This window comes from Homo sapiens, chromosome 4, assembly GCF_000001405.40.
Source record: "Homo sapiens chromosome 4, GRCh38.p14 Primary Assembly".
NCBI lineage: Eukaryota > Metazoa > Chordata > Mammalia > Primates > Hominidae > Homo > Homo sapiens.
Window position 1 is genome coordinate 48,476,879 of NC_000004.12, and position 22,964 is coordinate 48,499,842.

General features: G+C 44.1%; 3 protein-coding genes across 23 annotated transcripts in view, besides 6 other annotated features; 2 read left to right on the forward strand and 1 right to left on the reverse strand.

Moving 5' to 3' along the window:
- Window positions 4,735–5,130: a transcriptional cis regulatory region, noted in NCBI's record as "candidate enhancer chr4.1483 targeted for multiplex CRISPR interference". NCBI's record gives its function as "positively regulates SLC10A4 gene expression with high confidence in K562 cells {active_cell/tissue: K562}" and the evidence as "EXISTENCE:mutant phenotype evidence [ECO:0000015][PMID:30612741]".
- Window positions 6,385–6,434: a silencer, noted in NCBI's record as "silent region_15408". NCBI's record gives its function as "represses an Ori minimal core promoter by ATAC-STARR-seq in GM12878 lymphoblastoid cells {active_cell/tissue: GM12878}" and the evidence as "EXISTENCE:reporter gene assay evidence [ECO:0000049][PMID:35858748]".
- SLC10A4 (solute carrier family 10 member 4) lies at window positions 6,465–12,648 on the forward strand. Its single transcript, NM_152679.4, has 3 exons — window positions 6,465–7,273; window positions 8,054–8,264; window positions 11,549–12,648. The coding sequence occupies exons 1-3, from the start codon at window positions 6,684–6,686 to the stop codon at window positions 12,059–12,061; spliced, it is 1,314 nt and encodes a 437-aa protein (NP_689892.1). The 5' UTR covers window positions 6,465–6,683; the 3' UTR covers window positions 12,062–12,648.
- Window positions 6,515–6,644: a silencer, noted in NCBI's record as "silent region_15409". NCBI's record gives its function as "represses an Ori minimal core promoter by ATAC-STARR-seq in GM12878 lymphoblastoid cells {active_cell/tissue: GM12878}" and the evidence as "EXISTENCE:reporter gene assay evidence [ECO:0000049][PMID:35858748]".
- Window positions 12,508–13,045: an enhancer, noted in NCBI's record as "H3K4me1 hESC enhancer chr4:48491403-48491940 (GRCh37/hg19 assembly coordinates)". NCBI's record gives its function as "activates a minimal SCP1, AML or CMV promoter by ChIP-STARR-seq in naive H9 embryonic stem cells {active_cell/tissue: H9 hESC(naive)}" and the evidence as "EXISTENCE:reporter gene assay evidence [ECO:0000049][PMID:30033119]".
- Window positions 13,271–13,520: a silencer, noted in NCBI's record as "silent region_15410". NCBI's record gives its function as "represses an Ori minimal core promoter by ATAC-STARR-seq in GM12878 lymphoblastoid cells {active_cell/tissue: GM12878}" and the evidence as "EXISTENCE:reporter gene assay evidence [ECO:0000049][PMID:35858748]".
- On the forward strand, window positions 13,374–20,757 carry ZAR1 (zygote arrest 1). 3 transcript variants are annotated; one of them, XR_007096396.1, is made up of 6 exons: window positions 13,374–14,376; window positions 15,888–15,980; window positions 16,060–16,134; window positions 17,223–17,497; window positions 20,009–20,097; window positions 20,211–20,757. XR_007096396.1 is itself a non-coding variant. In NM_175619.3 (4 exons), exons 1-4 carry the CDS (start codon window positions 13,414–13,416, stop codon window positions 17,364–17,366), a joined length of 1,275 nt encoding a protein of 424 aa, NP_783318.1. In that variant the 5' UTR covers window positions 13,374–13,413; the 3' UTR covers window positions 17,367–17,511. The 3 variants fall into 3 exon arrangements, 1 of the variants encoding a protein (NP_783318.1); XR_925129.4 differs by having other exon boundaries at window positions 20,009–20,757; NM_175619.3 differs by lacking the exons at window positions 20,009–20,097; window positions 20,211–20,757 and having other exon boundaries at window positions 17,223–17,511.
- Window positions 13,571–13,650: a silencer, noted in NCBI's record as "silent region_15411". NCBI's record gives its function as "represses an Ori minimal core promoter by ATAC-STARR-seq in GM12878 lymphoblastoid cells {active_cell/tissue: GM12878}" and the evidence as "EXISTENCE:reporter gene assay evidence [ECO:0000049][PMID:35858748]".
- Window positions 20,479–22,964, reverse strand: part of FRYL (FRY like transcription coactivator) — a 282,923-nt gene continuing 280,437 nt past the window's right edge. For all 19 annotated transcript variants that reach the window (XM_024453991.2, XM_024453993.2, XM_011513683.4 and 16 more), the window contains one exon: window positions 20,479–22,802. In XM_024453991.2, coding sequence (XP_024309759.1) covers window positions 22,544–22,802 — 259 coding nt within the window. In that variant the 3' untranslated portion in view covers window positions 20,479–22,543. The remainder of the gene's footprint in view (window positions 22,803–22,964) is intronic.

Genomic DNA, 22,964 nt, shown 5'->3' on the forward strand with positions numbered 1-22,964 from the left:
TTTAACTTTCACAAATTCAATTATGAGAATTAAATGAGGGAAAAACAAAAGAGAGATTGAATGAATGATATGTGAGCCAGGAAATATGAATCTGCAGCTACCAAGGTCAGCCTCAACTCCCTGTGCTTGTCATGGCCTGAGCATCTGGAAGAAAGATCAGAGGGTTCTTTCTTATACTCTGACCCCAAAGCCAGCCACTCCGCCTGGAAATCAGCTATTCCCATACTGGGGAAAGAATGTCATTGTGGCCTTGATGAAAAGAGATTATTTTATTGTTATAGGTATTTAAAGGATTTTCAAGGGCAAATATACTTACTTATAAATGAATTTCTCCCCACAAACTGATAATAAAATCTAAGCCCTGCTTAGGGCTACCTTGAACTCTTGTTAAGATGGGCTCAGAGTGGATATGGGAGGCTCATCCCTAAGCTATCACTGACAACTTGGAAGTGGGGTCCTGTAGGAAGGGAGCAGCTTCCATTTGGACTTTATGGTAGGAGCCATTGGAGGTGTGATTCCTCCGACAACGGAGGACCTATTTCCCAGAAGAATAGGGGAACAGTGCTGGGAGCAAAATAATTGAGATAAACAACATTGGACTCACTACAGAGGCGTCCACCGAGGGTGTAAGTGTCTCTAAGTGCCCTCCTCCATTTTGACATTCATGGGTCCACTTCCCCTCAGCTCCTCCCTGTGGCTTCCTGGTCCCATTGAGAGACCAGGATCACTTTTGTCATTGTCCAATTTACTTTCACTTCATTCTCAAAGTACTGCCTGCTCTAAGGTTCTTGTGTCTCAATGTTCCTCCCACTCAAACTGTTATTCAGCTACAAAACATATTTATCTCTGATACTGTGTTGCCCTCTCCACACAGAACCAGGCCAAAATTCCCTAGGGGACAAGGGAGGGCCTCAACCCATGCTGCCTCCTCTTCACCAATCCCCAGACAGCATCCCTAGCCCAGGCTTGTGCACCTCCTCTTTGCCCACCTAGTATATTTATTGGAATTTAGGGTTTATTTCCTAAATGCATGGAGATCTTAGCCCCTGGAGGCCACCATGCCATCTCAGTTTTCTAACAATCATCCGTCTCCAGGTAAGATTGCCAGGTGAAATATTTGAAACATCTTTTTACTAAAAACGTATTTGTTGTTCATCTGAAATTCAAATGTAACTGGATGTCTTGTATTTTTATTTGCTATGTCTAACAACTCTACCAGTGAGGCTTCCATAAATATGACCTCTGCCTGGCTGGTCCACCAGGCCACCCAGACATTCCTGAGCAGGTTTTAATATGCTTGAGTTCACCATGAGCAGACAAGCCAGGCCCTCACTGATTTGGAGTATCCAGACTTTTGTGCCAAGTGTATAAATGTAATATTGGGAATTAGTAAGTGTTTTAAGAGTGGCATACTTTTTGGACACAGAAAATAATCTTTCGTTTTATCCATCATTAGTTAGTTATTAAAGAGTAATTAATGTTGTTAGAAATGGACTTTTTTATTCTGTAAAATAGACTTAATTATATAAAGCAAGTATAATCAACAGGCCATGTTGCTTTTAGATACAAATCAGCTAAGAACAATGTTCCAGTCAGCTCTCCTGTTTGACGGATCTCTATTAAAAGCAAACCTTCCAGCTTCCTTTCAACAAAAGTGGCCAAAACAAACATGTCTGTACAATAGTCCCCCCTTATCCTCAGGGAATATGTCCTAAGACCCCAGTGGATGTCTGAATCTGTGGGTAGTACTGAACCCTATATATATCTACTATGTTTTTTCTATAAATACATACCTCTTACAAAGTTTAATTTATAAATTAGTTGCAGTAAAATATTAACAACAGTAACTGGTAATAAAATAGGACAATTATGACAATATGCCAGCATCACTACTGTTGCACTTTGGGGCCATTATTAAATGAAATATTAATTGAACACAAGCACTGGAATACTGAGACAGTTGATCTGATTACTGAGCCTGCCTACTCAGTGACTAATGGCTGCCTGTCTACACTACCTACCCATTGGTCACTAATGCCAGGCACCTGTAACCCCAGATACTCGGAAGGCTGAGGCAGGAGAATCGCTTGAACCCGGGAGGCGGAGGTTGCAGTGAGCCAAGATCATGACACTGTACTCCAGCCTGGGCAACAGAAGGAGACCTGTCTCAAGAAAAAAGAAAAGACAACAAAAAGGAATGCAAAAATCCTCCATAATCCAATATATTTTGGCCCAGTCTTTTTGAATGCAACTATATAAATACTTTTAAAGAAACTGGGGCCAAGAGCCACCCTGCAGTCTGCTATGACCATGCCTACATGCCTATGAATAGCCACTGCACTCCAGCCTGGACAATGTAACATCTCTAAAAAAATTTTTTCTAACAAAATACAAAAGAAAGAAATCAACATAAAACGGTACATAACTTGCTTTTTTCACATAAAAATATAACATGAAAATTTAAAATAGTTGCATAGTATTTATTCTATTATGTAAATAAAAAACAATTTACTCAACCAGTTGCATATTGTTGGATACTTAGGTTGTTTCTAATTTTTCTTCTACCAGTCTTATACGTTGTACTTAAATTGTCTGCAAGTCAGATGATTTCTGTAAATAGGCAAAATACATAATTTATAATAAAGTATTTTTATTATTAAACTGAAAAAGTTCTATTTCACTAGTAGTTAAATAAGCACAAAATATGAAACTTTTAAAACAGCATATTGACAAAGATTCTTAAGGTAGCAGTACTTACTTCTGGAAATGCAATGGAAGAAGCCCTCAAACACCTTTGAGGGTGCTGAGGTACTGAATACAACTTCTGTGTATGCTTATTGCTTTTCTGCCTACTCAACATCCATTTTTCCTCTTTCTGTTAACAGCACCCACTATTCCTCTGAGGAATCCCTTCCCCAAATTTGAGTTGATGTGTCTTGAGTGGGGATGAGACCACTCCCTTGCTTGAGTGAAAGCATTCCATCCTATGGCCACAATGATTGGTTGAAGGATGGGTACACTTCTCTTGCCTATTTTCTATTTAATTTTTAAATTTAAATGCTTCTACTCTTAAAAAGCCTCCTAGCTTCCTTTCAAGAAAAGTGGCCAAAACAAACATTAGTGTACAATAGTTCTCCCTTATTAATCCCAAGTTAACCCCAGGACTTTTATGAGAACTCCTGGAAGTAGGTGCTCTCTTTCCATGATTGTTTCTATGGTAGGATATATCCAAATTGATTGTATCCTTGCCACTGTAACATAATAGCATATATCTGAATCTTTTCCAGTACTGAAAAATGGCATCTAATTGCTTCAATTTAATTGCTCTGGATACTAGTGAATGTGACTATTTTCATAAACATGTTGGCTGCTTGCATCTCTTTTGTGATCTTGTGTCTATTCATGTCATTTGCCTCTTTTCCTATAAAATAACACAATAAAACTTATAAATTAATCATAAATTTTCTCTTAATTTCTTAAATGATGTTTTTACTATAACAAAGTTGAAAGTTTTTATGTATCCATATCTACTGAGCTCCCCATTATGATTTCTTCTGTTACTTTTTTGCTTAGAAAAATTTTCCATATCCAAAGATGAGATAAACACTTGCCAATCTTTTTCTCTAGTATTTTGTTGCATTATTATTATTATAATAGTTAACCCTTTAATCTACTTGGAATTAGCTTTGGTATACACTGTGCCACAAAGCTCTAAATTTATTTTTCCCCAAATAGCTAGCTTAATTTCATCTTCCTTCCTTCCTTAATTTTTTTTTTTGACACGGTTTGCTGTCACCCATGCCTGAGTACAGTGGCATGGTCATGGCTCACTGCAGCCTTGCCCTCCTGCGCTCAAGCGATCCTCCCACCTCAGCCTCCCAAATAGCTGGTACCACAGGCATATGCCACCACAGGCATGCGCCACCATGTCTGGCCAATTTTTGTAGTTTTTGTAGAGACAGGGTTTCACCATGTTGTCCAGGGTGGTGTCAAGTTCCTGGGCTCAAGAGATTTGCCCACCTTGGCCTCCCATAGGCGTGAGCCCCATGCCTGGCCATATTTTCTAAGTACTATGTTATCTCTCCCTTTTACATATTGTTTCCCCCTTGGGAAAAGAATACTTCACTTCACCAGTGTCACCACACCAGTGTCATCACACCTGGAGAATGGGCTTAAACCTAATCCTGGGGTTTTCTCATACATAGTGAGGAAGATGAGAAAGAAGGGGAGGCCAGAGCACCTGTTTTCTTTACAATGACAATCACCCCATCAGCAGGAGTGACATCAGGTGTGTAGGTCCCAAGAATCCCCCAAGATTGCAGGTGCAACATGCCCCATGATTTACAATCGCAGCCCATCATCCCCTTCTTTTTTATTTTTTCAGATGGAGTCTCAGTCTGTCATCCAGGCTAGAGTGCAGTGTCACGATCTTGGCTCTCTGCAAACTCCACCTCCCAGGTTCAAGCAATTCTCCTGCCTCAGTCTCCTGTGTAGCTGGTACTACAGGCACACACCACCATACCCAACTAATTTTTGTCTTTTTAGTCCAGATGGGGTTTCACCATGTTGGCCAGGCTGGTCTCGAATTCCTGTCTTCAAGTGATCCACCTGTCTCAGCCTCCCAAATTGCTGGGATTGCAGACAAAAGCCATGATGCCAGGCCCCTTTCTGTTTTCAGTCTTCGCCCATTGCACAAGTTGCCGCCCAAGTCCCTCCCTAAACCCTGAGAGGAGGTAGTTGGATGAGTTGAGTTGGTCTGCCTCTAATTACTGCTTATTTAATGTGATTGTGAATTTTAATATCATTAACATGATGAGGGTTTCTGAGGCAAATAGGAGTGGTGCCTGCACAGTTGGCTTCAGCTGGATCCCTTGCCATTTGTGTTCTTGGCTTATCTCATTCTGTGGTTTCAAGACTGTGAAGGCTCAGCAGTGCCTTCCCTCCTTATCTTGTCTGTTTCTCCACACATCTTCCCTGGGTCTACTAATGTAACGGTTGGGTAGCATGGATCATTGTATATCTGAATATCTTTCTTTTTACCTACATAAGGTGACATGTCAACTTAAAATATTTTTGGTCACAACCCACTTCCTTTAAAGTTTAGCTCACTGAAGTTTTTTTTTCTGGGTTTAGTGTTTTGGAAAAGTGTAAGGGTACATTATCCTCCTAGATTCTTGCAAAAGCTCTGCCCTCGTGGAATTTACAGTCCAAAAGAGAAAAAATAAATTATTTGTGATGAAGAGTGCAATATGCTTTGCATTTGCAAAGTCTTACTTTTCATAGTCTCCATCATCTTCATGAGATTTGGGGAGGAGGAAAGGCTCAGCCCACCCTTGGGTAATAGAAGTCACTCTGTGCCAGGACAGGAGTTAGGGAAAAGTTCCCAGATAGAAGAATTCACTATATCTTGGCTCCTTGTGAAAGCAACCCTGGGCTAAGACTGAGCCTTGATTTCATTCTAGAAATTCCTGTTGGTTTTTACAACTCAACTGACTATCACTTTATGGTCACCCCCAGGGAGCTAGATGCCTCCTTAACAGGCCCCACCTGGTTGGTAAGCAGCGAAATTATTTTCCTTTCTACATGCCATCTAGTGACTGACTTAAAAGTTGTTGCATCTCCATTCCTAAGAGCTCTGCTTTTGAATTGTTTTGGGATAAACCTGTCTCAAGCAGGGAATCTCAGCACTTTATTTCTTTTCAGTCCTTTAATCCTAATGCCAGGGCCTTACTCATAAAGCTTCGTAAATCTGTGGCCACTGAAATATCCTCTCTCCACCTGCCAATAACTTCTTAAACACACATTTTTCATGGAAATTGTTATTAGCCAAGCTCTTCTCTGCCCTCTTTAGGGACACATCGCCGTGCAGATTCAGCCAGGTACTTGTGGGTTCGGTTGATAAGACTGAGAATTCCTCGTTCCTCAGTTTCCTCGTTTGTAAAAATCGAGCTTGTAAAAATGGTATCTATCTCACGGCTTTGCTGTAAGAATCGAATGAAATAATGCACACGCACTTGCACAAAACCCGCTATATTATTATTACATTCTACTTTAAGACTGAAAATCATGCAAAAAATTGTTTGCAAATTCAAGCCAGATATCGTGTCCTGCTTACTAGAGAATCGCTCATATTAAGTCAAGCACCCCTCTTAGGGCTGCAGGCTATAGGAACAGTTTCTGCCATGAGCGTGCATCGATGAGGTTATCCACCCGCCCCCTCCACTTTGTGTGTCTGGGTCTCCAGATTTCATTATAAAGAGGCAGAGCCCATCAGAGAACTTGATCGGCAGCCAGGAACGGTTTTTTCCTGCTCTGGTCCTTTGTCAGGTCTTTGTTCCGCCCCTGGCTACACTCGATAACAGAACCACTTACTGGCGATTCACAGGAGGGGACCGGGCGGCAGGGCGGGGCGGGGCCTGCGGGGCGCGGGGCCGCGGCGCGGAGCCGGCGCAGCGATTGGGTTCACCCGGGGGGCCGCGCTGCGCGGAGTGCCAGGCTGCGGGCGGCTGCAGACCTGGGAGCGGAGACCGGCCCGCCGCCCCCGACGCCGCCGAGCACGTCAGCGGCGCGCAGCCGGGGCTCGGAGACCGACGGGCAGAACGACGGGCGGCGACTGCGGCGACCGCGGGACGGCGAGAGGCACGCGGCGGGAGGGGACCGGAATCCGCAGCTCCGGCCGCGCCATGGACGGCAACGACAACGTGACCCTGCTCTTCGCCCCTCTGCTGCGGGACAACTACACCCTGGCGCCCAATGCCAGCAGCCTGGGCCCCGGCACGGACCTCGCCCTCGCCCCTGCCTCCAGCGCCGGCCCCGGCCCTGGGCTCAGCCTCGGGCCGGGTCCGAGCTTCGGCTTCAGCCCCGGCCCCACTCCGACCCCGGAGCCCACGACCAGCGGCCTCGCGGGCGGCGCGGCGAGCCACGGCCCTTCCCCGTTCCCTCGGCCCTGGGCGCCCCACGCGCTCCCGTTCTGGGACACGCCGCTGAACCACGGGCTGAACGTGTTCGTGGGCGCCGCCCTGTGCATCACCATGCTGGGCCTGGGCTGCACGGTGGACGTGAACCACTTCGGGGCGCACGTCCGTCGGCCCGTGGGCGCGCTGCTGGCAGCGCTCTGCCAGTTCGGCCTCCTGCCGCTGCTGGCCTTCCTGCTGGCCCTCGCCTTCAAGCTGGACGAGGTGGCCGCCGTGGCGGTGCTCCTGTGTGGCTGCTGTCCCGGCGGCAATCTCTCCAATCTTATGTCCCTGCTGGTTGACGGCGACATGAACCTCAGGTACGGATCTGTCTATTCCTTGGGCATCTGTCTCATCCCAGACGCGCGTTTACGGCCGTGGGCTCACGACGAAGGACAGAGGCAGTGGAGGGGTTGGAATTAGGCGTGGAGGAAGGAGGAGAAAAGGAGAGGAAGTTGATGACGCCCCGGCTTTAGAAGTCAAGGCCGACCTGCAGGTTGTGCTGCTAGGGGAGCAAGCTAGACGGCGAGGGAGCTGCTCCAAGGCTGGGATTCCATGCGCAGCGCGGCCCTTCAGCAGGGTCCCTCGCCGTCCTCCCCGAGCGTCGGGGTGGCAGCGCAGGTCGTTGTCCAGTGGAAGACAAAGAGAAGGGGGAGTCTGAACTAGAACTCGCCGGCAACGTAAAAGTAAAATAGGGCTACTGGCCCGTCAGAGAAAGTAATCTCACATAGAGTGCAGGATTGTTGAGTCCGACCAACAAGTAGCAGTCAGCAGCTTTACCATGGCTTACCTTGCAGGGGGCTTGCAAGGAAGAACGTTCCTTCCCCTCAGAATCATCCAGGCTCAATAGACTTTATAATGTCGAGGGCAGCAGTACCGAGACAGGGGGCTTGTTTTTCCTCCCTGCCTTGGGTTCATAATTCCATCGGTGTTAGACGTGCTGCTCTCTTGGCACTCTCCTCGGATGTAGGTTCTGCCCAGACTTCAACCCCGGGACTTGCAGTCTCCCCGTTCCACCTCTACTCAACATACAAGAAAAAGGTTAGCTGGCTGTTTGACTCAAAGCTCGTTCTGATTTCTGCACATTCCCTTTTCTGCAGCATCATCATGACCATCTCCTCCACGCTTCTGGCCCTCGTCTTGATGCCCCTGTGCCTGTGGATCTACAGCTGGGCTTGGATCAACACCCCTATCGTGCAGTTACTACCCCTAGGGACCGTGACCCTGACTCTCTGCAGCACTCTCATACCTATCGGGTTGGGCGTCTTCATTCGCTACAAATACAGCCGGGTGGCTGACTACATTGTGAAGGTAAGGCCCCCTCTTCCCTTTCCATACTAGCTTGGAGAGCCCTTGATCTCTGACCCACAGCAGAAATGTTAGGAAGTTTGGAGAAGGCGGAAAGGAAGAAAAGGACTTGGAAGTAGTTGCATGGATAAAATTTTTTTTAAAAAGTTTATGCTACAAAGATAACTTCCACTTTTGGGATTCCTAGAATGACAGCTTTAATTAAGACACAGCTTAATCAAAACCAGCATAAGAGAACTATCAGTACTCATTGGAAGGAAACAGATCATAGCAGGGTGGGGAAGATGACAGTGTAATTAAATGGCAACATATTTTCCACTAATTGTATATAATTAAACATAAAAGCAGATTAAATAAAATTACTTTAATAGAATTGGTGCAGTATTTTAGAAATGCATGGCTATCTTTTCAAAAATGGAACTCTAATTCTGAGAAACTCTGTAGTAGGTTCCTTTAACATTTTATTAAATTTTTAAAAGTAAGTTGATACTAATAGGACAAAAAGTAATGGAAAAGTTACATTGTAGTAATAGAACACACAAAATATTGGCTTTAAAGCACAAAATAAAATTGGGTCCTGGATAAATAATGGAGGTTATGTTGACCTTACTAAATGTGTTTCTTTTTCTTTCTCCATTGCAATATTTTATATGGCTTATAAAGCTAGTGAAAAGATAGGGGATTTCTATAATTTGTGCAATATTTCTCCTAAGGCTTTGATTTTTTAAAAAATGAATGCTTTCTGTAGCAGTAGAGATTTTAATAGTTTAGTAGATTCTAGTAGTTGACTGGAGGAAAAAAAATCTTTGCAAAATTAAGCTGTCTTTGAAAATTCAAAAACAGTAGCAAAAAAGAATAAACCATGACCAGGATGCTGACTTCAGGTAATTAATCAAATAAAATACGTAACTATTACTGCAAAATGCACAGGCAAATTCCTTTAGACAAATGAAGAGAAAAAGAGCCACCCTAATGTTTCAATTATGTAGATTCAAGAAGACATAATCTTTTGTTTTACTTATTTTCTAAAGTAATTTGATTATATAGAGTCAGCTTTTATTAATATGAAAAGTAGAGAGTTCTTTTCTGTGCATATATCCAGGCTTGAGTAAAAGAAATCCTGCTCCATAATACACATGTATATGTGAATGTAAAAATGTATGTGTACATGTAAATATGCATATATTAATACCTGTAATATATACTCATAGATACTCTTGAGATGCATTAAGAACTTGTTAATCTTAATCATTAAGCTAATGCTATTAATGTGATGGCATTTACTATAAAACCTTAGGAAGTCTAAGAGAAAGTCAATCAAATGACCTATTTACACACCCAAAACAAGAAATATATTTAAAATAAATATATTAATAAATTAATATATTTAATATTTAAATATAATAGACATAAGATTAGCTACCTTTGAATTTAAGGTTAACCTAGCCCTATTCTTTAATTAACACACTATTAAGAAACGGTTTATATAATTGTTACACCTTTGCAAACACTTCAAAATGAGCATTCAATGTCAATGCTTGCCCAAATGATTTAAAATAGTTCTAAGGGACTTTGGAGCCAATATTTCAAAATGAAGAAATCAGACTGTTTGTCAGCGCTTTCAATGTGACATACTTTGAAATGGTATGCTTTTACATGTAATAGCCTGGTTTCTGCCAATTATGCATCTGTAGTATCTGTACCTTATATAATAATTATTGCAGCATCCTCTAGGGTAGAATTTGTGACCAGCTCAGATAAATTTTAAATAATTTTTTAAGAGTGTAGAGTTACGCCATTCCCGAAGACTGCAAAAGGGATATCCCAGCTATCCAGGGAACCAGAAGCAACATTTAAGCTGTTCTCTCTGGCTCTAGTTTCCTTTCCCTGCCCACTCCTCATTAAAAAAAAATAAGTTAACTACCAATATGAAGGAGAACGAGGAGAGGAATTTTTAGATTTCCGCCTTACAATTCATACAGACTGTTTTATTTGAATGAGTGAAATGTACCAGTCAGAACATCAAGATGACACGTTTTATACAGAAGTCAGTTGTACTGTATCCGAAATCCATCTATTGTAATAATACGTAAGCATCATTACAGACTTATAGATGGGAGGTTTCTCATGAACAAATAAAAAAGGGGAAAGTTGCCAAATTGCAAAGAATTCTTCACATATTTATTTACATTTTTCTCTCTTACATAATCTAAGAGTAGGTAATTGTTTCAATATTGCAAGCAATCCTCTGCAGTATATTTTGAGGGTTAAAAAGATCACACACTGAGCTTCAGACATTTTAATCAAGTTTCACAAGTTTTAACTCATGTAAAATGAGAACTAATTTCTTATGGAAAACACGGGGTTCAGTTCAGGGAAAGTAAACATCCACTTGTCTGCTCTGATGATCAGACCATACCTGGGGTATTAGGTTCAGTTCTAAATGCCCTGTTTTTAAGAGGCACATTCACATATGAAACACATTCTCAGAACAGTCAGGATACCAAAACAAAGTTATGTGATGGAGGTTTAAGTTTGGGGATGATCTGCCTGAAGAAGAGTAGCCTTCCCCTGATAACCAGTTTTTAAGCTTTTGAAGAGCTGTTTTTCAGGAAAAAAGCTTTTGAAGGCTATTTTTTTTTGAAGAGCTTTTTTTTTTTTTTTTTTTTTTTTTTTTTTTGGTGAAATGGAGTGTTGCTCTGTCACCCAGGCTGGAGTGCAGTGGCGCGATCTCTGCTCACTGCAACCTCCACCTCCCAGGTTCAAGCAATTCTCTGCCTCAGCATCCCGAGTAGCTGGGATTACAGGCATTCACCATCACACCTGGCTAATTTTTGTATTTTTAGTAGAGACAGTGTTTCACCATCTTGGCCAGCCTGGTCTTCAACTCCTGACCTCATGATCCACCCACCTTAGCCTCCCAAAGTGCTGGGATTACAGGTGTGAGCCACCGCGCCTGGCCAGAAAAGCTGGGTTTTTTTGTTTGTTTTTTGTTTTTGAAGAGCTGGTCTCTGTCGCTCCTGAGAGCCTATATCCAACTCAATGGCTAGAGGTTATAGAAGGCAAATTGTCCCTGGACATAAGGACAGGCCTCCAAACAATCAGAGCTGCCCAATGTGGCTCTGGATGCTTCCTGAAGAGGTGGCCTGCCCATCTTCAGAAATATTCTGTCAAAGGTCTCCATTTTGTGTTGGAGAGCATACTAGATGGGTGTTTTCTTCCGTGAGCTTAGGATTCTCTCGCCTGAGTTCATCTTCAACCATCTCATTGTAATTTTCTATTACTAGGTTTCCCTGTGGTCTCTGCTAGTGACTCTGGTGGTCCTTTTCATAATGACCGGCACTATGTTAGGACCTGAACTGCTGGCAAGTATCCCTGCAGCTGTTTATGTGATAGCAATTTTTATGCCTTTGGCAGGCTACGCTTCAGGTTATGGTTTAGCTACTCTCTTCCATCTTCCACCCAACTGCAAGAGGACTGTATGTCTGGAAACAGGTAGTCAGAATGTGCAGCTCTGTACAGCCATTCTAAAACTGGCCTTTCCACCGCAATTCATAGGAAGCATGTACATGTTTCCTTTGCTGTATGCACTTTTCCAGTCTGCAGAAGCGGGGATTTTTGTTTTAATCTATAAAATGTATGGAAGTGAAATGTTGCACAAGCGAGATCCTCTAGATGAAGATGAAGATACAGATATTTCTTATAAAAAACTAAAAGAAGAGGAAATGGCAGACACTTCCTATGGCACAGTGAAAGCAGAAAATATAATAATGATGGAAACCGCTCAGACTTCTCTCTAAATGTGGAGATACACAGGAGCTTCTATCTTGCTGAAATATTGCTTCATATTTATAGCCTGTGGTAGTGCACATGGTTAACATAAAAGATAACACTGGTTCACATCATACATGTAACAATTCTGATCTTTTTAAGGTTCACTGGTGTATTAACCAAACGTTGTCACAAATTACAAATCAATGCTGTAATATAATTTGCACCTGGAATGGCTAACGTGAAGCCTGAATTAAATGTGGTTTTTAGTTTTTACCATCACCAATTTCTATGACTGTTGCAAATACAGAATCTATTAGAAAACAGGGTCTTGGAAATGTAGAATTTTGGCGCACTATGAGGAAAAACAAGCTATCTTTGTAAAGCATAATTGAGTTTAATGTAATTGTTGTAAAAAAAAAAGTGTGCTTGCTCTACTTAAAATTCCTCACAATGTTGAATTTTGACCTGTATTCAGAAGAATTCCAAAACAGGTCAGTTAAATAAGGAAATATAGTATTTGTCAAACCAGTATCAGAGAAAAGTTACATTAATGTATTTGATTACTTGATCTGGTATCTACTTATTAATGAATAATCAACATTTTTCTAGTGGACAAGCCATGTTCTTTTCGACTGGTCTTCTGCATTTATGTAAACACACCCCAAATCAATTTATCTTTTGTAGGAATGATTTGGTTGGGAAATTTTTCAGAACCGCTCTGGAGCAGAACAAAACGGTACCTCCCGGTCACCACTGGGACTGGGGGAAGGGACACGCTCCAGGGGAGAAAACAATTCGCCTAGATGAAGATCCCTGGGTGGTTCTCCATGCACTCGCCGAGGGGGCTCAGTGGGTAGCCTCTTAGAGCAGCTCTGAGAATAAACTTATCATCTGAGTTAACGGGTAATAGACCCAGAACAGTTCCCAAACCTTGGCACTTTCGCTCACTTAGCCAGAGGCACCCGGCCTGGCCTCGGCTTCCCGGTGAGGGAGCGGGGGTGGGGGGGATGCGCAGGCACCTGGAACAATCAGGGCACCGGGAGAAGCCGGCTCAGCTGATGCCGGTGATGAGTTTCTCTCATTGAAATCCTCCTCACCTCGGGCGCCTTGGTTCCCTTACGGATCAGCCCTTTCATCACAAAGAAAGCCCTCTTTCCAGATCATCTAAGGGTCATTGTGCCAACATCCGGGCGTGGAGAGTTTCTGTAGGGAGAAGGACGAAGAGGGGCCCCCTCGGCGGGGACGCGGGCCGGTGGCAGGAAGGGCGTGGAGGGCGGTGCAGCGTGCGAGCCCCCGCCGAGGGCCATCCCCGCCTCCGCTCGGCCGCCCGGGCAAGTCGCCTATTTAGGGTGCGGCGGCGGGCGGGAGCAGTGCGCCCATGGCGGCCCTGGGGGACGAGGTGCTGGACGGTTACGTGTTCCCGGCGTGCCCCCCCTGCTCGTACCGGTACCCATACCCCGCGGCCACCAAGGGCAAGGGCGCGGCGGGCGGCAGCTGGCAGCAGCGCGGCAGGGGCTGCCTTCCCGCCTCCTCCCCCTGCTCGGCGGGCGCGGCCTCGTTGTCCTTCCCGGGCTGCGGGCGGCTGACGGCCGCCGAGTACTTCGACAGCTACCAGCGGGAGCGGCTCATGGCTCTCCTGGCGCAGGTGGGGCCGGGTCTCGGGCCGCGCGCCCGCAGGGCCGGCAGCTGCGACGTGGCGGTGCAGGTGAGCCCGCGCATCGACGCCGCGGTACAGTGCTCGCTGGGGAGGCGCACGCTGCAGCGCCGGGCCCGCGACCCCGAGTCCCCGGCCGGCCCCGGGGCCGAGGGCACCACGGGTGGCGGCTCTTTCTCCCAGCAGCCATCCCGTCGAGGCCTGGAGCAGGGCAGCCCCCAGAACGGCGCCCCGCGGCCCATGCGCTTCCCGCGCACCGTCGCCGTGTACTCGCCCCTGGCCTTGCGCCGTCTCACCGCCTTCCTGGAGGGGCCCGGGCCCGCGGCGGGCGAGCAGAGGTCCGGGGCGTCGGACGGAGAGAGGGGGCCGCCGCCCGCGCGGCTTCAAGGCCCAGAGGAGGGGGAGGTGTGGACGAAGAAGGCGCCCCGGCGGCCGCAGTCCGACGACGACGGCGAGGCCCAGGCCGCAGTCCGAGCGAGCTGGGAGCAGCCGGCCGACGGTCCCGAGCTGCCGCCGCGAGAGGCCCAGGAGGGCGAGGCGGCTCCGCGGTCGGCGCTAAGGAGCCCGGGGCAACCTCCGTCGGCGGGGAGGGCCCGAGACGGCGGCGACGGACGGGAGGCGGCCGTCGCGGGAGAGGGGCCGTCGCCACGGAGCCCGGAGCTGGGCAAGGAGCGGCTGCGCTTCCAGGTAAAGCCTAGGGCGGTCAGGGCACAGGGGAGCCCGGGGGTGCGGGTGTCTTCCTTGGGCCTGGCCCTGTGACTGCTTCGGGCACTCGGAGGTGCGGCGCTTCCCTAAGCGTGGGCTACTTCCGTATTTCCGAGACAGCCAATGACCGCGATAGGTGTCTTCCTTGACAGCACAGTCTCATGTCCCCGACATCCAGACTTACTCGTGGCGGCTGCTCCACGGGCTGGCCAGGGCGACGCCCTTGGGACGTTCTTATAACCCACATATTTGCACTGTAAACCTCGCGCAGTGGGCGCATAGGCCAGCCCTGACCGCACGGTTGGATTACCTATCAGTAGGCACAACTGAACTTCGGAGCACTTGCCGGCTGGAGAGTCGATTCCCAAGGATCCCTCTCTCCCATTTCCGCACTGGATGTGGCAAAAACCCTTCAACTGCTGGGATTCTGGTCAGCAATTCTGATTTCTCCTTTACGAGCTTCCAGGCTATTGGAAAGCTGGAGCTCCTAAAATGCCCCTTCCTAGGAATTTGCTTTGCTTTTAAGAAGCACCCCCAACTCAGAAATCCAATACTGCGAAAGCATTTGGACTGCTCAGTGTTGCTGCCCGAGGGCAGCAGGCTGAAACTTTAAAGGGCTGGGGCACGCAGAGGGCAGTTGTGACCTAGCAGAAGTGGAAAGGCACAAGAGGTGGTAAGAAGCCCGAGGGAGTCCCTCGCGGTCTCTTCCACGGCCACCACAGGCTGGTATTCCTTTTGAGGGGCGGGGTTGGTGGCGGTAGGCTGATTGTGCGAGGAGTGAATCGAGAGGCCAGGGCTTCCCAGCGTGGCTGTGCAGGAGCTGTGTGTGATCTTAGGCCAGTCATAACCTTCCTGGACTTAGCGCAGTCTCACAGGTGAGCAGACTGAATTAAGTGCTCCCCAGAGTTCCTTCCAATTCTGAAAGGCTAACTCTAAAAACGTGTGCATAACTGCTTGCTTACTGGGAGGGAAGAAGGGAAGTTTAAGTAACACTACTTTTGTTCATATTGAATATGAATTATGGCTTACGTACGATTTAGGTTCCTGGCACCACTGTTTGGGAGTTAACTAGCAGCATGAAGAATGTGATCTTGGGTGAACCTTTAAAGTTCCTTAGATGTGGAGTCTTATTTTTCTTCAGCTTAATACATGTGTGCATAGTCTAAGATCAGGCTTTATCTTAAAAGGCCTTCCTACAGAATCCCAAACTTTAGAGAACTGTTTATTATGTCCCTACTTATTCGTTTATTAGCCAGCCTTATGAACTGAGTTAATCTGGTATATGAACTCTAAGGCCCATGCTTGCTTAATTGTTTGACTAGGCTATTAAGCTCACTTAATTACTGTATTGAAGAGGCGTACCCAAACCTGACCTGCTTTCTTTCATGATCTGAAGTTGCCAATTTCAAATATCAAGTAGATCCTTCCCAACGTCTGAAATGAAGGATAATTCAGGTGTTTTGTTGGTTAAATTGACATATCCTGTTGTTCAGTTCTTAGAGCAGAAATATGGCTATTACCACTGCAAGGACTGCAACATCCGCTGGGAGAGTGCTTATGTGTGGTGTGTACAGGGAACTAACAAGGTAAGAAATACCAGGTAACTGGCATCTTCTTGCTGAAAGTGTCAAGGCGATTTTAAGTTTATCCTCTTTGTCATCACAGGTTTACTTCAAACAGTTTTGCAGAACTTGTCAGAAGTCTTATAACCCTTACCGAGTGGAGGATATCACCTGTCAAGTAAATCAGATGTTTTGCATTTTGTCTGACCTGGGCAGTCGTCGAGGGTTTTTAGTATAGTTTGAGTATACTTCCAAAAAGAGGCCAGGCCCCCAGACCTTAGGTTTCAACTGGCTTTTGTTAGGAGTGGTAGAAACAATACTCAGCTGGGAAACGGGGCCTTGGTGTTAGCTTCTTTCTGGCCTTGCAAATCTTGCTGTTGTTAACCTCTTCTAAAACTGTTAACCTCACTTGCAATATGGAAGAATACTTGTCTTACTTGCTACTTAGTCTAATGTATAAGAAAATCAACAAAAACATGCTTGTCAGCTAACATGAGGTAGTCAAGGTTGACTGTTTTACCGAAACGCTTCTTATGAAGCACAACCTTAAAGTACTTAAGCACAGGGGGTTAGTTTGTCTTGCCTGAAAGCTCACAAAGGGACAGTTTAAGATAAATCTAAGTTGTCTAGCTTTATGGGGAGTTGACTATAATGGTAAGCAAGCAATATGTTAACTAAGCATTGCTTAAGCGCTTGCTTGCTATTAACTGTGCTAAGGGGCTTAGCTAATCTTTAAGAGGAAAGAAGTGACTACATTCGCCTCTTGTCACACAGCTAATGGAGTCTGAATTGCCAGTTGAGACAGCCTAATCAATACACTTGACCCACGTTGGATATTTAAAAGCATTAACACCCTGGGGTGGTGGAGAGAAACTAAGTATGGAAAGCCACTTAGAATCACTTAGATCAGAGCTGGGCATGTTTCTAAAAGAGGATGCCTTAACCACTCTGCTCTTGGTGTTCATTGTCAAATTCATCCCTGACTTGTTCTCTACCCTTTCTCTTAAACAGTTGTTGTAAAAGAAATTTCACAATTCATAATTGGATCTGATGCAATATAGCAGCAGTACAGCATGGTTAAACACCCACTATTCCTAGCCCTGTCATTGCTACGTAGGTAGGGATGTAGAGGGAAAACAAGATTACTATGGGACCTTGCTTAGAGCACATTCATTAAGTACTTGAATGGACTAGAAAAATGTTGAAGTCCTAGGAAATCACTAAGGGTTTATCTTCTGCATGCCCTTCTGTATTTTTTTCCCCCAGAGTTGTAAACAAACGAGATGTTCCTGCCCAGTAAAACTTCGCCACGTGGACCCTAAACGGCCCCACCGTCAAGATTTGTGCGGTAGATGCAAAGGCAAACGCCTGTCCTGTGACAGCACTTTCAGCTTCAAATACATCATTTAGGTGAAAGTCAGTGTTGCTGTGCATGCGCTGATGGAGTAGACGAGTGAGCTTTTCCGTGCCTCTCCTCCACCTCTCCCTTCTCAAAATACTTCATGAAAGGCAGTGTATTCTGAAAAAGCCTTCAAATAAAGGTATTGCAACACGATTTATACATTGCATAAAATCTGTCTTTGAAAATAAAGTTTCAAGAGCGCTTGTCTTGTGCTAACAGTCTGGGCCTGTCACTTCACCTTTATGAATGCTTGCTGATGGCATAGAGTGGGCCAGGCTCTGAGTTAGGCTGCAGCCACTTGGAAAACAATTTAGGGGGGTGCTTGTAGACGAGGTCTACTTATTTAGGCAGGTCTGGAGGACTGAAGCTTAGAAGGAAGTTAACTGAATAAAAAGCCGCCTAGCGATCGCGCCACTGCACTCCAGCCTGGGTGACAGAGTGAGACTCCATCTCAAAAAAAAAAAGCTGCCTAGCTGTAACATTAAGGCATTCTTTTGGGAGAGGTGGAGGCAGAGCCATTTATTGGTTGCATGAGACCGTTGGAGGTTAACGTTGAGTAAGAATGCTGAGTGGCGGTGATGGGGTAGGTAAAGGCTTTAGTGTCCAGGTGACCTTAGGAGGTAAGCTACTAGGTGGAGGGAGGCTGGGAAAACTAACCTGGCTCACTAGTCAGTTTCACAAATGTGGCAAAAGTGGGGCTTGGAACAGGGTGGCTGTGGGCAGCTAGCTGCTTTTAAGACACTGAATAACCTATCAAGTAGACTTTGTGTTTCTTCAAAGCCTTTTTTTTTTCTTCTTTTTTTAAAGTAGGCCTCCTAAAATGCACTTAAAGATGTCAAGTTAGAGGTGTAGGCCTTAGCTTTTGTCTTCACTGACTTAGTGCTAGTCGGGATGCCAGACTCTAACTGCGTCTAGTAGCTTCTCATGACAACACTGAGGCCCCACTGCCAGAATGTTCCTAGTTGAGGATGGGACTGAGTTTAGAGCCTCAGGTGCATCTGATGAAATTAAAGTTGTAGTATTGGTTTAATTACAGAAACCATATAATTGGAACCATGTGCTAATTATGCCTCCAATTCTCTAACAAACATCCCACTTAAGTGAACCCCTTACTACCTTAGGCCATAGGACTAAGTCTTAACATCTTGGACACTTGTTAAAAGGGACCAAAGTGAGTTTGAGGCCTCCATAGAATCCGTATCTCAAGGGGAAAGGCCCACCTGCATCAATGTGGACAGAGATGGTGCGTGTAAAATGCAGATTACTGGGCACCTGTCCTACCTACATTTAATAGGCGCCCCAGCTGTTGCTAATAGAATTGAAGCATGAGCACCTGTGCTCGGTAGAGAAGAGGTGGCATCTCATGGAGCTTCCAGTAGAGTGGGCAGATGGCCACTAGTTTTTATATAAATGTAAAACTGAGGTTCTGACCTGTGATCTGCTTATGTGCCTCTGCAGTAAGGGACCTGACTTAGGGAGATCAGGGAAGCCCTGCTTAAAAGAACGATACCTCAGCTAAGCTCCAGTTCAAATGAGTCGAATGAGGCAAAAATGGAGAGGGGAAAATTTCCAGATTAGGTTAACAACAATCTGCAAAAGCCCTGTGGTAGAAAACAACCAGGGGGAGGCCACAGTGTGAGAATACTTTGGAGGACATGACATGCCAGGTGAATCTAGCAGCGCCAGACTGGAAGGGTGTTTTAGGCCTTCATTAGGAGGATGGTCTCTACTGGAGTGCAGGGGCTACTCACAGGCATTATCAGGGAACACCATGGCCTCAAGCTCCTGGGCTCAAGTGATCCATCCTCCTGGCTCAGCCTCTCAAGTGGCTGGGACTACAGGCACTTTGCCAGGCTGCACTAAAAGGTTTTAAAGGTATGGTGGGGATAGTGGGGCATGGTGGCATATAGATTAAAAAATCACTCCAGCTGTACAGTGGATACCTGTAGATAAGGAGACTCACAGGGACCTGATAAAGTGGTGGCAAGGCTAGAGAGAAATGACAAGAACTGGTGTGGGTAAAGGCGATGTGTTTTTTACTGGTTCGAACATGTTCCTGTTGATTTGGTTGGGGGTAGGTACAGGGGTAGGAAACCTATTATTTGTACTGTGGCATGCAAGTGATACATAATGATGTGATCAATAGTATTTGCTCAATGAATGAGTGAATTACATAAATGTACCTACATTGAGTCCTAAGAAAGAAATTTTCACTGGCTATTAATATGGTTACATTGTTCTTTAATATTGCTTGCCATTAATTTTCCTAACTTAGCAGCTAACCCTATTTTTCAGTTGAGGAAAGTGAGGATCAGACTGTTTTACCTAGGGTGGGTGGGCATGCAGATATTCAACAAAGTGGCACAAAAACATGCCATTCAAGTTATGATTACATTCAAGCAATGAAAAGGCACTGCCAAACTCTATGTGTACAATCCAAAAACTAAAAGATGTGAATAGATTTTAAGTTGAGAGGTTAGAAGGAAATACTCCAAGATGTCTCTGGGTATCAAGAGAAGTAACTGTAGTTTTCTTCATATTTCCTTTATTTTCTAAAGGAACCATGGATTACTTTGAAAAATTAGGGAAAAAATGCTATAAAATACCAATAAATGGATTTTCATACTGTCGTCTTTCTCCTTTTGTTTAGGTTATCCTGGTGTTTTATGTGAGCAGTATTCACTCACAGGCCTGGATGAGGAACCTTACTCTGCCCTTGAGTCTTTTCCAAGAAAGCATGTAATGATTTCCTAAATTTAAGGGAGGTTATGTGTTTTGCCACACCCTCTATTTTACATCACTAAAAGTAGAAAATATATTTTAAAATAAGAAATCCTGTGGTTTTGTTTTAGAAGCAGCATGAAGAAACTGCCGGATTGCTGCTTTTGCTGTTGTCTTATAAGCGTACTATTTAAAAATGATAAATTTAGTGGGCAAAAGAAAAAGGCTGTATGTAGCAAAAACTGGGCTCCAAATGGAACTAAATCAGGTAATAAATTAAGCATTGGTATATATTTGTTAATAAATGCTAACTTGGGATTCAGAGGCTGAGGAGCAGAGAAGTGTAGGTTGGAGGAAAATGCTGTTGCAGAAGGCCATCCTAATGAATTTGTTTGCATCTTGCTTGCTGCAGGTATATTCATTTTTATTATATTAATAGACTTAGTTACATATAAATAAACACAAAAAGCAAATATCAACTGAAAGGTTTGGTTGGGTAGTCAACTAATTTTGTTCTTTTCTAGGGCAATTCAAGAAGGTAACATTTGAAAGGTTTCTAAATGATGCACACTGTAATCATTCATTCTTTGTTAAAATACAACACAAACCAACAGCTACAATGCTTTTTATTTTTAACAAAAAGGATGTAAGGAGGGTAAGAAAAACAGAGGACAGTAAGATAGGATGTAAAGTGTGATGTATCTCTGGACACCATCCCTCTCTGCCTGCCCCACACCCAAAAGTTTTAAATAATTTAAAGGATACCAATTACAGTACCAGAACACCATCAAAATAATTGTCTTTATCAGGGTCAAAAAATACAGTGATTATGAATGAGCTGTGACCAGTTACGAAATTTTACTGGAAATGTTTAACTGTGGTCAGCAGTCCAATGGTGTGCACAGTGCCTTCAATTAATGCACTTGAGCATACGTAATTACATTTCTGGCAGGGTCCACACCCCCCAAGAAAAGGTAAAGCTAAGCATTTCATTTCTACATTCTAAACTCTGGAATCACAGAGCCCAGTTTAAAAGAAAAGTCACAGTGGATAAGAGATGTATATAAAAAATACAAGGTGTTTCTTTCAAATCAGGAGTTGTGGGACTACATTCTTTTTTTTTTTTTTTCTTTCTTTTCTTACAAAATGCGATTTTAGAAAAGGATAGAGACTCCAGTTCATGTTATACTACAGACTTAGACAGTGAATAAGTATATTGCATGTTTTGGTAGTCAGTCTTCAGGCTTCCTTTCATTTCCCCTAGCCCCAGGTTTCTTTAGGGTAAAGCATGTGAGTCCTGAATAAAGATACAAAAATGCATTTGCAGCTCTTTTCTTGAATTCTGCAGACTTCAAAGCCTGCAAGTCATATATTCCATCATCAATGACCACAATTTTTCTTTAGCTTTGTACACCTATTCTTGTATAACAACAGTGCATGGCACAAATGTACAAGAAAATAACTGGTTTTAGTCTCTACAGTTTCTATATGGAGTAAAATAAGTTAAAACTTTTCTAATGAGAATAGCTGACAGGCAGCATACATCTTTATTTTACATTTTAAAGTCTCTGCAGGCATCTACTTTGGTTAGTTATCAACAATCATAACATAAGCACTGATCAGAGAACTGAGCAGCATTCCAATAACGTTAACAGATATATTATTTCTTTTTGAAATACTGGGAAAGCCCAGTTTTAAAATATTATTAAAATGTTCTAACATTTACATACTATGAAGAGTTAGATCTAATAAAATAACATTTCTTCAAAAATAATCTTGCAGTGCTCTTTTAGGCATGCTCTGAGACGTTATCACCAAACATCCATACCTTGAAAATATGACTATCACATATCCATACATCCCAACTCACACACACATAATTCCTTATACAGACCAAAAAACAAAAAAACCCAAACCCTTATCCCACATACTGAAAAATCAATGGTTTTTGCAAACGAGTCTTGATGCGTATAGCTGACTGCATGTTCATGTGGATGGATGATTAAGCATCAATTGCAGGTTAGGTTTTCAACTGCTAGAAATCCAAGCAGCTTTGCAGGTCTTCAGCTAAAATGAAACAGCCTTGATTTCAGCCTCATTTCACCTGCTTTTGGTTGTTTCAGTATTGGAGGCCATTATTGCAAACATTCTTGGAATTCTTTTCTTTCCCCAGAAAGTAATGTATTTGTAGGCATCACTTTTAGCCCTTTTCTTTTCACGTAGGTTAAGTAATTAAAAAATTCCTTCTTCACGCAGTTATTGTGGGAGATATTGGCAGCTGTTAAAATATCAGATGTTTTTTTCTTTCAGATCTTTGTTTTTGATGATACAGTTTGACATTAGTTACACTAAAAAGTAGATGCTGCCAGAAAGTTATCAGTGAATGCAAGGGTCCATAAAAGGTGCTTGGTTAATATTCTTCATCATCTTCAGTTTAGTTTCTTTCCTAAAGGCCTGAAGTGTCTCAGAATCCAGTGCTCACCATATTTCCCATTGGTTTGGCCTGTGCTAGAAGTTGGTATGATTGCACCATGCGTAGAGACTCTCTTATTTCCAGATTAAGTTCCATCAGTTTGTAGTTGGCTTCTGACATGTCCAGGTTAGAGCCTATAACTGCAAAGCTTCCTGTCTGGCCCAGCGTCTGATGATGGAAATATATATGTAACAGTGTCTGTACAGGGTCATCTTCACAACTGCCAAAGATATCACTGGGCCAGAGAGATCTGAAAATACACAATAGTTTTTCAGTTCTGAGACTTAGGCAATAGTTAAGACTAACTCAATTTAAGTTAAATACCTGTAACAACAACATTTCCTTGTGAATAACATGATCTGTTTTAATATTTGAGCAAATATTACTCAAAGTACCACCTGAATTCACTTTC